The sequence below is a fragment of the Homo sapiens genome, chromosome 10 (assembly GCF_000001405.40).
Source record: "Homo sapiens chromosome 10, GRCh38.p14 Primary Assembly".
In the NCBI taxonomy this organism is placed as follows: Eukaryota; Metazoa; Chordata; class Mammalia; order Primates; family Hominidae; genus Homo; species Homo sapiens.
Genome location: NC_000010.11, coordinates 126,635,413 through 126,652,133, shown reverse-complemented (window position 1 = coordinate 126,652,133; position 16,721 = coordinate 126,635,413). Strand labels below are relative to the sequence as shown.

Sequence of the window (16,721 nt, the reverse complement as noted above, 5' to 3'; positions counted from 1 at the left end):
TGTTGATCCATAAACTGATCTGACATTAATTATTGTTGCAGAAGAGTTCAGAAGATTGAATAAAAACATGCAATGCCGGCAAAGATCAATCTTGCATCTAGATTAGCGGTAGAGAGTACCTATCATACCATCCCCACTAGAGTCTGTGCTCACCAACCAATCATCAGTCCAACCTGGAACCATCCATCGCATGTGCTGTCTGCCTTCTGGTGGAGCCTCCTACATCCCTTGGAGGAGACATTCAGATGCTGAAAAGAGATAGTCCTCTTTCCTTTGGACTCCAATAATGTCTATCTTTATCTTAAAGAGAAGATGCAGCCAAAAATCCACCTTTGGTCTTTGCCTTCTTGGGATCCAAGTAGACTTGGGATGTCTCCTCTGTTTTCTCTGCAAACTACGCACATGTCCAGACAGGCAAAGTTAGTGGGGGAGGGCACTGGCAGCAGTGTTCTGTATAGACTCTGGGAAATTCTCAGCTGTTTTCTCCCATCTCTTCTTTCCTGCTCTGTATAACGTTTCTGTTCCTGTTCTGCTTGCTTAATGGAAAACCCTAACCCAGAAGCTGGCGATGAGTATTCATCAAATGTCCACAGTACTGATTGACAATCCTCCATCTCAAACTCTTGGAATCAGATGTGATTCAACAATAATTTTTTTTGGATTTTAAAAAGATAATATTGTGCAATAACTCCAGCAGGATCTGAGGTAGAACTCTGTAATTAAGCTTAATTAATAAAATGTATGAATTTTTACACTCAATGGAATAAATTAATATCATAAATAGCCTTAGGTTAGTTCAGGTAAGGTTTTGCTGTCAGAGTAGTTTGCTACAAACCCAGGGAGAAAAACTCTCGGAATACAGAGCTTTATGCATGTTAGCATTGCAGATTAGGATCCATAGTGAGTACTCAGGTATCTTGAAGGGAGAGTCAGGAAACAACAAAAACAGTAAAATATTTGCTCATTTGAGTCCAGCTGTGATGGCAGGATTTGGGAGAACAAGTGAGGTAATGTAGGAGTTGCTTTGTAAAGCATTTAGTCTTACATATATGGGAGGTTCTACTATTATTACACCTACAATGTTTAGTCAAAGCTCATGGGAGCACTGCTTCTGGCTGCGGATGGAATTCGTAGATCAATGTGATGTTGATGTTACCATTGTCTTAGCAGATACCAGGCTTGACCACAGAATTTCTGCAGGGTGGGTCTGGCAGGATTGTACCTGTGAAGTGGCAGGTGGCTGGGGGGTGGAAGGAAGGCTGGACCAGGGTCAGGAGGGCTGGTGTAGGTGACAGAGCCACCGTTTTCTTGTTCTTGGACACTTAGGTTTCTTATCCTTTCTGGGCCTGAGTTTTGTTATATATAACTTTAAAAATCTATGTGTCCTAGTCACCACCTTTCAGGGAATTTGGAGAATCAAAATGAAGTCATGTGAATATCAGAGCTTTGCCAGCTGGGGCATCCCACTCTATCAAGGAGTGTCATGATTTTCTTACGGTACTTGATCCTAATCATAGTTCTCTATTCCCTAGGACTGATTCTAATAGCATGGGTTCCAATGTGGGGTCCTTTACTAAATTACTAGGGGGGTGTGACTTTGGGCAAGTTACTTACCCTCTTTGTGCCTCACTTTCCAGCTCTGTAAAGTGGAAATAATAATGATCACGCCTCTGTGACAGAGTTGTTGGACGATCCTGTGAGGATTAATTGCCCTCAATGATAGCTCCTCACGTGACACCAGGCTTAAATCAGGCCTATGAGTCACTGGGAACAGAGGTGAAAAATGGTTCTTAAATCTTTTTTCCCATTGTGTGGCTTTGGTAAACTACCGTTTCCATTCACTAAATAACACCGTAATGTCTTCAGAGACTTAAGGGAGACACAGTCTTGAAAGGCCTGAGTTAGGAGTCACTTAATGATCACTCACGAAATAGCAAAGGCTGATCAGGCTCTCCCTCGGAGTAGTAAATAGTAAAAATTGGAGTCAACCTTTGGTTTATTGGGGAAAATATTTCCACTTGTAAAAAGAGTGCCACATAAATCCCAGGCACTGCAGGCCAGAGGCTGGCATCTCCTGTTAACTCCTGACCTTGATCGGGAACTCTGCCCTTTCCCTCCCTCTCCCCTCCCCTCCCCTGTTTTCCTCCCTCCCCACTCCCTCCCAAGCTCCCATTCTACCTTTTCCCTTACTACTTCCTTCCTTCCTTCCATCTTTTCTCCTCTCCTTTCTTCTGCAAACATCCACTGTGTTTCTCATTAACACCCACCATGGTGCTGGACACCAGAGATGTACAGGTAGGCCCTGCTCCCAGCAACCTCTGGGTCTCAGGGGGAGGCAGACCTGGTTGGGTGAGGAGGAATCCATTAGCAAGTGAGGCCAACAACTTTCTTCTCATGGGGGTTATGGTTGAGGGAAGATGCAGACATCGGTTGTAGATTCACATGCATCAGTGTGTATTTACAAACCAAGGCAAGTGCTCTGAAGGAAAAAGAATGCTTCTGCAGGAGCTTATGAATCAGAAACCTGACCTTGGTTTGAAGGCAATGTCAGGAGAGACACGCATGTGGGCAGGTCATATGAGCCAAGCTCCAGAAGGACCAGGAAGATGTGTTATGCAAATAGGACAATGCGTGCGAGGGCCCTGTGGTGGGTGAGCGTGTGACCAATCAAGGAGATGAGGGGAGCTCATAGAGTGTGTGACAGGAGAGAGATGCCCAGTGAGTGATGCCACAGAGATGAGCAGGGGCACCACCAGGGCCCTCATCATACTTTACCCTAATGGCAATGGAAAGTGTGGCTCTTCTGCATGAAAGGATTACAGGGAGAAACCAGCAGAAAGTAGAGTCCACGCCAAGTCTTTGCAGGATGTTGTGACTGGACTAAGACCTGGGGTCCAGCTGACGAAAGAAGTTCCTGAATCACCCCATCGCTGAAAATTCTTGAATCAATAGTGCACATAGCCTGTAGAACATGGTTCCGGGCTTTGGAGAAGCCAGGCATTTGCAGAACGCTGTGGGTCTTAGTTAATTTGCCATCCATTGTGAATTGCTGGGGGGGGGGGAGAGAGAGAGAGAGAGAGAGAGAGAGAGAGAGAGAGACAGAGACAGAGAGAGAGAGAGATATCATCTGTGATCCAAACCAAAGCACTTCAGTGTTTGTTACTTAATGGCAAGGCTGGGGCTCTTGACTAACAACTACGTGGTGCATCAGGAGCTTTTCAAGTGAAAATTAATTCTGTGTTGTCATATCCCAGGTTAACTAACTTGCTAGACTTGATAGAGTTACATTAAAAATATGCATAACAATCTTTCTTAAAAGAACCACACAAGACAACAACCCAGGAGAGAAGAAGCTTAAAATTTCCACTATGCCAGTTTCTCTCTGCATCCCTCCACCTCCAAGACAGCCTCCAGATCTACCTGATTGGTGTGAAGCAGTGGAGAGATAACTTGCTGCTTCTGACAGACTTAAGATTTAAATTATTTTCCAGCCCCATATACAATGTTACAGCATTTTTATTTCCTTCCCTGAAAGTTTTTATGCATTATCCAATATTTCCCATGGCGCGTCTACGCTAAGTCAGAGAAAAAGATATATAGAAGTATAATGGCTATATAAGTATTGCCAGATATAGTCAAATAGCCAAATAATGATACTTAGTGTCTTAGTCTTCTTTGTGCTGCTATAACAGACCATCTGAGACTTAGTAATTTATAAACAACAGAAACTTACTCCTCACAATTCTGGAGGCTGGGCAGTACAAGATCAAGGTACTTGCATCTGGTAAGAGCCTTCTTGCTTCTTCCTCCCTCCCTCCCTTCCTGTGCATTTTGAAATCCTCAAAAACATTCCTTTTATTCATTGCTAGAGGTAACCCAGGAGAAAATGGAAGTACATCCTTACTACAATCTGTAGTTCTTTCTTGGGAGAATGAAGAAATTCCAAGATGTTCCTGATTAAAAAAAAAACAAACATGGCAGAGGAGCAGAAGCGAGCAAGCCCACTCCTATAAGCCCTTTTAAAAACAGCAGCATTGATTCATCCATGAGGCAGAGTCCTCATGACTTAAACACCTCCCACTAGGCCCCACCCTCAACACTGTTGCACTGGAGATGAAGTTTCCAACACATGAATTTTGGGGGACACATTTAGACCATAGCACTTAGTAACAAAAACAACATTTGGAACACATTGGCTAAAAGCTAGCGTGTTGGGTCTAGCTGGCCCAATCTGATTCCTGGCTCCATCACATCCAGCTAGGTGACCTTGGCCTGTTACCAAACTGAAGGCTTAGCTTTCTGAGCTTTCACAGTGGAGCTAAAAGAAGCATACCTTTCTGAGAGGTGGGAGAATTCAATGAGAGGATGTATGTAAAGCACTGAGCATACATAACCAGTATATGTGAAGTCTCAATAATTTTCAGCACTTATTAGAATTAATAATCACATGGCTGATAGGTGGTGGCTGAGTTGAGCCATGGGGAGGGGCAGAGATGGTAGAAAATAACTCTCTGGCTCTCAGCCCAGGTTAGGTCCTTGTCCCACCCCATTCTGTCTCTTCCACTATGGGATCGGGGGGAAGCCAGACTTCTCCTTGGGATGGAAGAAGTGCTTGACTACAGATTCCCCTCTGCAACCCCAGAGCTGGTTGCCCAGATGCAGGGGATGAGAAGGGGCCGATAATGGGAACCGAACACCAAAAAGTTTAACTCAGCTTCGGGACTGGGACATGAACTGAGGCTCACAATTAGAGCCCAGCTCATGCTCTATGACTGTGTTGCCCCTTCAAGTCATGCCAAGCTGATGACAGGACCATCAGGACAGTTGCTCTCCAGCTTTGGGGCGAGGTCACAGGATACTCCAAGGGACGACAGGCAAACCCAGTATGGAATGAGATGTTCTGGAGTCTCACTAAAGTTAGAAATCAGAGCCAAAATCTCACCCTCAGCAAACTGCTTTGAGAATAAAATCACAAAAGAAATCTTTACCTTTTGGCAGAAAAAGTCAGCAAAACAGTCATACCTGAAGACAACAGAATAGTTTCCTATACATTCTGCTTGTTTTCACTGGGTCCTAAACGCCTGAAATTGAATGGCTCATAGCTAATCAATTTATCAATATTTATTGAATGTCTAGCTTCAGCCCAGCACCCATTCAGCACTGTGATGGGCCAGAAGAGAAATATTAGATGTGGTTCCTTGATCTGCTAACCAAATCCACGGCAAAATCAATGTTGGCTGAATTTTTCTAGTTTCCTTTCCTCCCTCCCTCTTTTCCTGTGCATTTTGAAATCCTCAAAAACCTTCCTTTTAGTCATTGATAGAGGTAACCCAGGAGAAAATGGAAGTAAGTCCTCATTACAATCTGTATCTGTTTCTCAGGAGAATTGAGAAATTCCAGGATGTTCCTGATTAAAAAAATAATGTACATTATTAAAGATTATATATCTGGCAAATCAAAATATGAAATTGGGAAATATTTCTGTTTGTTTTCTAGATCCACAGTCGACTCTTCTCATCCCCCAAAGATCATTCTGCCTGGGAAAGAAATGAAAGTCTTTCCAATGCAGGTAAAGGACTGGGGCCTGCCCAGGCAGGGTTCCCTTTCAAGCCTTTATTTACTCTCTCTCTCTCTCTCTTTTATTTTTATTAATAATGGAATGTACTTTTGAGCCTAGTTTTCCCCCAAACGTGAGATGATAGCTCAGTGGCTCTGCCAAGATTTGAAGCTGATTTGAATTTCTAAACAGCCAGGCAGTGAGGCTAAAGGATGCCACAGGCACAGCGGTGACTTCAGGGGTGCCTTTGGGACCTGAGCTCCCTGCAGAGCGTGGAGCATGTGGGTCAGGCCAGCATGCAGCAGGGCTCCATCAGGGATGAGTAATGGGACAAATATGAATATTCTCAGAACAAAGTGGATGCAATTTAAATATAGGCAGGATATGTGCATTCATAAATCTTTTTTATAAAGCTTCCATTCTTAGCCACTAAACTGTAAAAACGCTAGGTGAGATGGTTACAGTTCATAACTTTTATTAAGTTTGTTAACATAAATGATGTGAAAACCAGCTCCCCTGCCCCACTCTTTGTGAGCAAAATCCCACAGATTTAGTCCAATGTTCTGATGGAACTGTAATAAGACTACTGGGTTAATCGACTATTTCCATTCAGAGACTAACAAATTCAATTCTAAAAGAATGTTTTAATGTCACAATTTTATTTCTTAATCCTCATTTTAATTTTAATTTATAAATGTGGCAGATGAGCCACTATAGATGAAAAGTGCATGAGATTATGTGTGTGTTTGTATGTATGTGGATGTGGATATATATGCATGTATGTATACATGTACGCACACATAGACACATTTATATCTTCTCTCCACCACCTGCCTATAGCAAAGATATCAGGGACCTGAATTCCTTTCCAAAACTGACACTGTCAACCCAAGACAAAAACATTACTTGAAACAAGCTTTCATGTTTAATCCTTTCTGGTAGTCCCGAAGCATGGTTTACAGCTTGTTCTTTTTTTTTTTTTTTTTTTAGGCAGGGTCTCACTCTGTCACCCAGGCTGGAGTGCAGTGGTGCTATCATGACTCACTGCAGCTTTGAACTCCTGGGCTCAAGCGATCCTCCCACTTCAGCCTCCCAAGTAGCTGGGACTAGAGGCACGCACCACCATCCCTAGCTAGTTGTTTTGTTTGTTTGTTTGTTTGTTTGTTTGTTTGGTAGAGAGGGGATCTTGCCATGTTGCCTCGCCTGGTCTCAAACTCCTGGGCTCAAGCAACCTGCTCACCTCAGCCTCCCAAAGTGCTAGGATTGCTGGCATGAGCCACTGCACCCAGCCTCCAGCTTTTTTTTTTTTTTTTTTTTTATACTTTAAGTTTTAGGGTACATGTGCACAATGTGCAGGTTAGTTACATATGTATACATGTGCCATGCTGGTGCGCTGCACCCACTAACTCGTCATCTAGCATTAGGTATACCTCCCAATGCTATCCCTCCCCCCTCCTCCCACCCCACAACAGTCCCCAGAGTGTGATGTTCCCCTTCCTGTGTCCATGTGATCTCATTGTTCAATTCCCACCTATGAGTGAGAATATGCGGTGTTTGGTTTTTTGTTCTTGCGATAGTTTACTGAGAATGATAGTGACAGATATTTAGTTTGAACTCTTTGAAAACTTAGCCCAGAAATTGCCTGTAGTGAGAACATGAATCCATTTGCAGGCACTTCTTGTGGTCTGAACAGCAAAGGCAGGCTCCCAAAACCTGTCTGGTTACTTGCATCCCACAGGGAGTTTGGGGACACTGAGAAGAGTGCCATGTTTTCCTCAGAGCACTCAGAGGTGGCCGTGAGAACAACGAGGCCTGGTGACTTAAATGTGGATGCCTTGGTCCTCTTTATCTTAGGACCGGGCACTTCCACAGTGGATGCCTACTGGAGAGGGGCTGAGCACTTTAATGGCTTAGGAATCAAGCCCATGTTGGCCGGAGGCTAGAGGTTAACGGTGCAGGCTGCAGGGAAATTGTTCAGGCAACCCTGGGTTGGGAGGGAGACAGAGCTCTTGGCTTTGTATCTCTTTTTTTAGTCTGCCAATATGTGCTGATTATGGAATAACACTTGAAGGCAGTCCTAAACCTTGAGTATATTCTAGTAGAAGGCAAGGAGTCAGACCTAAATGGGTTTCACGCTTCCCAGCAGGGCTGATTCTCCAAGGCACCCTCTCATGTTTTCTGTGTCTTCCCGCAAGGTTGTTTCCATCTGTTTAAGAGAAATTGCACTGGGCACTTGTTTAAAACGGTAAGACAGATTTTACTGGAGTTCTGCAGTGGAGGAGGGAGCCTTCAGCGCAGGACTAAGCTCAGCTCTGAATACAGCAAGGGTAGATGGAGGTTTACGGCCGAAAGGCAGAGTGAGGAACTCAGCTGATGGAAAATTAAAAAGAGGAGCTTAGTATCTAAGGTGGGGGAAGGTGAACATGATTAGCCATCAAGGGTCGGGGGCATTCCCCCTAAACTGGCTTAGCAGGATTCTCTCCAATCGTGGGCTCAGAGGGATTCTCACTAATCCTAAAACTGGGCTTAAAACAGGCCAAGGGTGAGGCCTAGTCAAGAAGAGGGCCCAGAGGACCCTGGCTGAGGTTTGGTCAAGGAGGGAGTCCAGTTGCACCTTTTCTACAAAAGGAGGGCTAAGCAGCCACCTGTGCCCTCTGGGCTCTCCATGGCCGGCCTTTCTGCCTCGGGAAAGAACAGGGAGTTTAGCTCAGGACTAGAGCCCGTGTTTCCATGCTCATCAGAAGGGTCTGGGACCAGGATGAAGTCTTTCTTAGCCCTCTCAGTGGCTTTGGGAAACCCAGAGAACAGAGTTTTAGGTCAAACTCTGGGTTTGGAGACCAGAAACCCACTATTGTAGACAAAGGGAAACTGTTGTAAGGAAACCAGTGAACTTCATGGGAAGATGAGGCACTGGGGTGTAGAAAGACAGGAACCAAGGTTGCTACTTGGGCCCTGGCAGCAAGAGCGTGCGGACCCTTACCTGGAACTGCTGGGTCAGGCGCCATGCTGACCCGACCATCAGTCAGGAGGCAAGGTCAGATATTAGATGTACAACTTCCAGAGGCCCAATCCTGGGGGTGATGAGCTAGTGGGGCAATGTTCTAGAAGGAATCCGTGGGCCAGGCATGTATCTCAAAAGGCATAAGTAGGCCCGTAGAATCTCCAGCTTGGGAGGGGCCACAGAGGTCCTTCTGTCTAGCTTCTCTGAGATGTCTGATGTTTTAAACCCCTCTTCATCATCCCCATGCAGGAATGGGGAAGACCCTGTGGAGTGGGCTGGCCACATAGTAAACTCCAGGGACAGGGGACTCACTCTGTTTTAAGGCAGCCCATGGTGTGCTCACACAGCAGGGATTTTTAGAAAGCTTTTCAATGGCATTAAGCCAAAATAAATCAGCCTTCTCACCTATTTTTAATCTGTATTTATTAGGTAGGCAAAGAGGAACAATGAAGTATTTTGAAGTTGCTGGAATACACTATCTGATCCAAGTGCTAGGAAGACAACTCTGTTGTGATATTCCAGGTGGCGGGTAATGTGGGTTTAGGTGGAGCAGTGGCTATGGTGGCTAGAACTTCTGGAGCCCTAGAAATTAGTCAAATTATTTACATGCTGTTGGGATAAGGGAAAAGTTAAAGATGTTCCTGGATAGATAGTGCTGTCATTCATAAGGTAGGGAACTCAGGATCCAGGAGGCTTATGGGGTTAGCGGGGTGCTGGTGGGAGGATCCTGAGTTTGTGGTGTTTGGAAACTCTACGTGTGAGAGGTCAATGTGACCTCATCTGCTCCAGATGCTCGCGAAGCAGCTGGCAGTGTGGCATAGAGATCAAGAGACAGGTCAGGGTTGTAAATCTTGATATCATCATGGTGTACACGAGGGTGGTATGAGAAACCATGAGAATGGCTGAGATTACAGCGGGAGAGAAGATATGAGTTGGGAAGAGGATGGAGCTGCAAAACCAGGAGGAGCCACATGTGTGGGGTGGGAAGAGGAGCACTGTCCTGAAAACCACAGAGCAGACATCAGGGTTTTGTATTTTTTTTTTGAGATGGAGTCTCGCTCTGTCGCCCAGGCTGGAGTGCAGTGGCGCGATCTGGGCTTACTGCAAGCTCTGCCTCCCGGGTTCATGCCATTGTCCTGCCTCAGTCTCCCGAGTAGCTGGGACTACAGGCGCCCGCCACCACGCCCGGCTAATTTTTTGTATTTTTAGTAGAGACGGGGTTTCACCATGTTAGCCAGGATGGTCTCGATCTCCCGACCTCGTGATCTGCCCACCTTGGCCTCCCAAAGTGCTGGGATTACAAGCGTGAGCCACCGCACCCAGCCTTGTCTTTTAAATTGAAGTACGTAGTGCCAGCGTTGACCTTGCCATCAATTAGCGATTCATCTTTGGAATGGTCCTTCCACTTCCTCATTTCTTGGTTTGCTCTTAAACAAGGGTGCTTTTGGATGCTGTGATCTTTATGAAGCTGCTCTAAACTTCAGTGATGCGGGTGGTAGCCTCCAGCAGCAGCTCCATCAGTGGGGTATTTGTTCCAAACAGGGTGCATAGAGCCCAAGCAGGAAATCAGAATTGAATGTCATCTCTGAATTTTCATTTCTGCATCCTTCATTTTCACAATGAAGCTATTCACCTCCTCAGTCACTGGAAATTCCAAGACTGGGAAGGGTGGGGAGTGGATTTCTTATAGTTAAATTGTCCTCCTGGCAGGGCCTTTGAAATCTGTTGGCCTGTGTAAAAGATTAGTTTACTATGATTAATAGGATCTGAACACGAAAGGAGAAAACAAATGTAGGAAGGGTGACTATTCTGTCCAAACTCACATCTGCTTTTAAAATCAGAGAGAGGTAAAAAGTCCCTTTCAGATCCCCATTCTGCATGTTACAAAAAGATTTTGTAACATTTCCCCATCACTGTGCTACCTGTCTGCCGATGAGACTGCTTGGTCTATGGATTGAGGGCGATTGGAAGTCAGGTGTCTAGTTCAGCCATTTCTGGGGAAATCATTTAGGGGAAATGTAAATAGAGAGGGAAATGATGAAGGTCACTTGGAACTTTTAATGACTGATTCACTTGGTTTAGGGAAAAAGGAGCGGGCGGATGGCGGGGGGCGTGGAATTTTCTCCCTTCTGATCGATTTAACCTGACCTTTACAACCTTCAGTTTTTAAACTTTGATTGATGAGTGGGATAAAGTAATTATATTTCACTTAAAACTTGAGGATGATTGTTCTTTTATTCCAGATTTTACAAAAGCAGTGATTTGCTTCCTTCATAACAACAGTTTCTATTTCATTAGTACTGAATTAAACCATTAGTTGCCCCAATAAACCCTATACCCTTCGTCATGATTCAAGGAAGGGTTGTTCTAGGATCCCTTAAAAACATCCCAGAACCTGGTGCGAGTTACATTTATTTTCTCTTCCAGAAGAAGCCACTTGTAAATGCAGCTTCTCTGTTAACAAGGTATAGAAGGGACACCACATTTATCTGTTTACTTTCCCTGAAACACCTGGTTTTTAGGAAGGCTCTAATTTTTGGAATTTCAGTGTGTGGATTATCTTTTGTTACAGAAACCGTTTCATTGTACCTCACTCCATCTGCCTCCTTCCCATAGATTTCTCCCTGCCCATGGGAGAAGCCATGTATTCAACAATTTATAAGAGTATCTCCAATCAATGCAACTTCTCCAATCAAAAATCACATCAGTCCCCAGAGGACAAAATATAAGCTCCTTGGCATAGCATTTAGTGCCTTTCCCCCTCAGAGTCTGATTTATCCTTCTGGGTTTTTCTCCAGGTCCATGGCCTCGCAAGTGCTCTGCACCCAGCCCTTGCCTATCTCTCTCCTTGTCCAGAGACTCTTCTGTCTGAAAACCCTTCTATATGTTTCTGTTGATAAAACTCTTTCTTTTGACTGAAGCTTGATTCAACCTGCCCCACCCCACCCCAGGTCTCTCCAGGGCATTTTGTTGATTGCACAACCACAACCACAATCCTTTCACGTGACCTTGCTGACTTATCCTTTTTCCCTCCAGGACCGTGGGCTCTGAGTGTAGGGAACTTATTTTCTCATCTCTATGTTTCCAAGCTCAGGGATCAGCAGGGAGAAGTGGTTCAATAGACTGAATGGCATCATTTGTATGAAGAAGCTATTGGAGCCATTTCTCCTTCAGAGGCTCTCACTTTATCCTCCCAGGCAAACCTGCGGAGCAGGGTGGGAATCAGCGTGTGAGTGGCTGAGAACCCCATGGGGAAAACATCTGCCTTTCTGCTCTTCAAGAGCTTTGAGCAACAGGCTTCTGACCTGCTCCTCAGCTTCCCTTGTTGAGAGGGACAGAGGCTCCCCCAGAAGTGGCTTGGATGGGGTCTGCTTGGTGTTTACTTCAGCTAGCATTCACCCTGCCGTGCACAGCGGTGGTGGAAAAAGGCAGCATTGCTTTTCTGATCACTGGAGAATAAAACGCATTTACTCCTGCTTCCTGTGGAGGCCATAAGAGGATGCATTTGAGTCTGTTGTGCCTGCTTGGGTAGGATGTTATTAGAGAGAAAATAGACCATCCGGCCCTTGCCACTGTGTGACACCTGTGTGTCCTCTTATGAAGAGCCGCTGTGCTTCTGTGCCATCTTCTACTCTGCTTCATGGCTCCCTGGGCCTTGACCCCCAATTTTGCTGCAATCACCCACAAATAGTGCAATAAGCAACTGTTTCCCCCTCCATGAGTTTCTGCTCTAATTTGGCCTTTGCCTATCACCTGGTAACATAATCTAATTTAAAAAGTAATTGGTAAAACACTGTACTACGAAAGGAGCTCAACTGCAGATTTCGCAGTCTATATAGCTTTGTGTCAGACAGAAATGCATCAGCCAGATTTTACAGCTTCCTCTCAAAAGCATGAATGCTCAGTTACTGCCTCTTGTGTACCAAGGCAGTTGGCAACAAGACTTCATCCAGATGTGAGGAAATCAGACATCGGGGTGGACATGTGGGGGACAGTCCAGGAGGCCCCGTGTCTCATTCTCAGAAGAGTGGAATGAGGAGACCTACCCATGATTTCAATGAATTCCCCCTCTGAGGTGTTTGAGCCCTTCTACCTCGCCATGGGTGTCATGGTGGGCACCTTTGGGCATCGGTATCCTGATCTGAATAAAGGAGCCAGGTCTGAGAGACAGGCGTCTGGCACTGGTTTTTGGTTTTGCTTAGAAGGAGCACCTCCTGGGGAGATATCGTTAAGAGGCCTGAGTATCATGGCTGAGCAGCAACCGCACATCATGCGCCATGGAGACGAGATTTTCCTGCAACCACAGAGCAAGATAAATAGCTTTGAGTTGGCAGCAGTTGTCAACTGGAGGGGTGCATCTGAATCACCGATCAAGCCTACCACAGAAATAGGTCTCCAGGCCTCACCCAGGCCTGTAGCATCAGAGCCTATGGGTGTGCAAGAAGTTGTCATGAGCATCCCTGTGAAAACCACCACTCACGGTCTTTTGGAGTTTGCTGGGTTTTTAAGAAAGAAAGGTGTAATATTTGCTCATCCAAGTGATTGTCATTCCCGCATGTCTAAGAGTTACTCAGCGTAAAGTTATTCCATAAAAGGCTGTTTTAATGGCCTCCTCTTCACCCTGGTGGTGAGGGAAGGATTGCTGCTCTAGCGTGATGGAAATGCCCACACATGATACCCAGCACTGGACAGTTGAGGTCAACAGCTGTTTATTAGCCACATACGCTCATGGCTCCAGGGAGGAGGGCTCCGTGAGGACTGCACTGAGGAACCGTGTGAACACATTGGGTCTGTGGGAGGCAGGCTTTGTAGTAAAAAGAGGGCGGGGTGACTTTGGTTTCCTGTGATCCCATGATAAGGAGGGCTGTTTGGCTGGGGGAGCTTATCTGAGGGAGCAGCATGGGAGAGGAAATATGATAGGCCATCCAAGGCCCTCATCATTTTCCCCAGATGTCAAGGCACAGGTCATACTGGACCTCGATGTTAGGCCTTTCACCAGGAGGGCCTGGCAGGGGGAGAGAGAAGATGTAGAGGAGTGGGCAGAATGAGACCAGCTGGGACCCAGGGATCAGCACAGCTGCTGATCCAGATGTGCTAGAAGGTGTGACAGAAAGTTGAGACTTGGCTCCTAGGGGCATGGTGAGAGGCAAGTGTGGACACCAACCAGGCAAGAGGCAGTGTCAGGGGTGCAGCAAGAGGACACAGAGTCCTCAGAGGAGGCACATTTTGGTGACTGGGAATGTAGGGTGGGGATACAGTGGAAAGAGATGGTGCCCAGGTCCCACACACATCCCTGGCTCATGACCAGCCCCATCCAGAGCTCCTGAGGTCCCAGGATCGGGCAGAGGAATCAGATCCAAGTCATGAATTCACTTCCCAGAGCAATGCAGAAATCTGAGTTCTAGACTGGGCCTAGGGAGGCAGGGGGGCCCAGTGAACCCCGACCTAGAGCCCGCCATCGCTCTGAACTCAGGAATGCTGTTCCATGTCAGCAACGACACCGCTGTTGTCAGCCACGCTGGAAACCTGGAGTCTTTCTGCCTTCCCTCACTCCAATGTCCAACCATGAGTAAGTCCTTCTGATTTGCTTCCTCACCATCTTTGGGGCCCAGCCTCTTCTCTCTAGCCACTGACATGCTGGCCTGGACTCCTGCAATAGCCCAACTGTACCTTCCTCATTCTCATCTCCATCTACAGCCAGAATGACCTGCTCGGACCACACCACCCCTGCTTAAGACCCTTCCATGCCTTCCAGTTGTTCTTGGAATAAGGACCATTTTTATTGTGGTGCAAAAGGCCCCGAGGCCCTGGGTCCTGCACCCTGCACTCCATCTCCTTCCCACTCTGTCCCACCCTCTGCCACCATGTGCCTACTGCTTTGGGATCCCTGCCCATGCCTGTGGATTCCATCCTGCCAAGTGGCCATGACCCTCACCGACCTGACCTGTAGCCCCTTACCTGCATGTCCTCTGGAAGCCAGCCCGATGTCATGACCAATCGGTGGTGTCCACCTTTCTCTCCCCTGCTGTGCCTGTTGCAGTCATGCTTTCAGGTTGATTTGGATTTGATGAATACTTGCTCCTCCATCCAAACCACAAGCTCCGCAAGAGCAGGGGCCTGTCTGATTTTGCTTGCCAGTCTCAGTGCTGTGCCTAAGCACTCAATAACCCCCTGGTGGGGGAATGGGCTGGCTGGTGGGAGGTAGGAGCTAAGTCTAGGATGAAGTCTGGGTGGGGCATGGAGACAGGGAATCAGGCCCATCTCCAAGGCAGAAGGCAGACATCAATAGGACTTTGAGACGACACAGAGTGCATGTCCCCTTGTGTCTGCTTTCTACTCACCACGCTGAATCAATCTGCCCTCCTCCTGGCATCAGCCTCCTCTTCTTCCTCTGACTCCATCAGTCTGTCTCCTCCTGGTGTTGCCTGGCCCCAGAACAAGAACGCTAACCTCTGCAGAAGTCCAAGTTGGGCTTATGCATTATTTTTGGTGTGACTTTCGGCTCCTTTAAAGAAAGAAGTTTATTTGTTTCGACTTCCTTATTAATTGTTAGTTGTATATCAAGAGCGCCCCCCAAGAGAAAAATAATACTTACAAATAATCACTGGAAGTCACACACTCCTTCCAAGGGCTGTATGTTATCAGGAAAACACTGCACAGAGAGGGCATGTTCCCAAACTCTTGTGGTCCCCGCTGTGCAGAATGCTGCTTGTTTTGGTGAAATATTGTTAATAAGGCATGGAGAGAATAGACTTGGTTATGAGCTAAAGTGTTATTTTTATTTTTTTTAGTGGCTTTTGCTCAGTTGGCTATCTAAGGAAAGGATTTCTAAAAAAGAAAAAAGCATATAAACAAATGCAACATAAATTGAAAGTGACACAAGGAATTAAATGTATTTTTGAAGCTTATTGTGTTATTTAATATAATGGTCATGTTAATATCCAGCTTCCCAGCAGAAAAGGAATATTTATCTGGAAGCTGAAGTGTGGCAGAGCTGGAGGAGACAAGGACAGGTGGAGTGAAGCAACTGCCAAACAAAACACAATTATTTGTCCTCTCATTACACACCTATGACTTTTCACGGCTTATTTTATATCTTGGTAAAAATGTCAGTGTTGGCCATGAGACCATTATCATACAGCATCTTTTTTTTGGAACGAATTACCTCCTAACCTGCTTGCCTCTCTCTTCTTTTTCAACAGTGAGTCTCTCTCTTTCTCTCTGTGTGTGGTACGCTGATAACTTGCCCTTAACTCCCCTTGGTGAAATGCGGTAGGCAGGAAGGCCCACGCCTGGCTGAGACACAGCTTGTAACACGTGTGAGGGGTCATTGTTATCAAAAACAGAAAATTAGGGCCGATGATCTCTTTCCAGCTTCCAAGGGGGTACAAGGATGTCACGTGTCCTGCTGCAAATTGTATTTCTGTGTTTGAGCAGAAGACAGGTAAGGTCTGGCTTCTTGTTCAAAGGTGTCATTGTTCTTGAAAGAGCCCTGGCTTCATGTCACATGCCTACCTTGGGTACATGAGGAGACCTTATGATTATAAAACCTCCCGGAACCTTCTCCCTTTAGGCTGGTATTTGACAATGCCACCGCTTGACCTCTGCGCTGAGGGGAGAGCTCCTGAATAATATTGTGAGAGATTCAGTTGTGAAGTGTCTGTCTCTCAAACTACCTTGACCATTTGGAGTGAGTACAGATCACAGAGGGCTAGGTTTCCCTAAAGCAGTTTATATTTTTAAATGGAAATCTTTCTGAAGAGAAAATCTTATGGGAGGCCAGGTTATATAACAGATTAAAGTGGAGGAGCTCTGGCTGAAGGAGGACGGTGAGCACCCCTGCCAGGTGGACCCACTCCCCTGAGCAGTTAGAGACATCCCATAGTGTGTCAAACATGATTTGAAAACTACTGTCCGCAGGTCTGGGAGGGGAGTGCAGACCATATGAGTGACACTGATTGCTTTCTCATTGAATATTGAGATTGCATCTCGTTAATCTGGAGCTCCATGGAAGGAGCAGGTTATCACTGTGGTGGTCCTTTTTAACCCAGAGACGGGCCCTGCTTCTTTATTGATCTGCACTCCAGTTCCTAAATCCTGAGCCCACTCTATTTTATGGCTCTCACGAATGTGATTATCTTGGTGCCCTTAAGCCACAGCTGA

General features: G+C 46.1%; 1 protein-coding gene across 5 annotated transcripts in view; it reads left to right on the top strand.

Annotated features, from left to right (window-relative positions):
• C10orf90 (chromosome 10 open reading frame 90) overlaps positions 1 to 16,721 on the top strand; it is a 245,697-nt gene that overhangs the window by 18,560 nt on the left and 210,416 nt on the right. For all 5 annotated transcript variants that reach the window (NR_146939.2, NM_001350922.2, NM_001350921.2 and 2 more), the window contains exon 2: positions 5,497 to 5,569. Coding sequence is in view for 4 of the 5 variants with exons in the window: in NM_001350922.2 (NP_001337851.1) it covers positions 5,497 to 5,569 (73 nt within the window). In the remaining variant the exon portion in view is untranslated. The remainder of the gene's footprint in view (positions 1 to 5,496; positions 5,570 to 16,721) is intronic.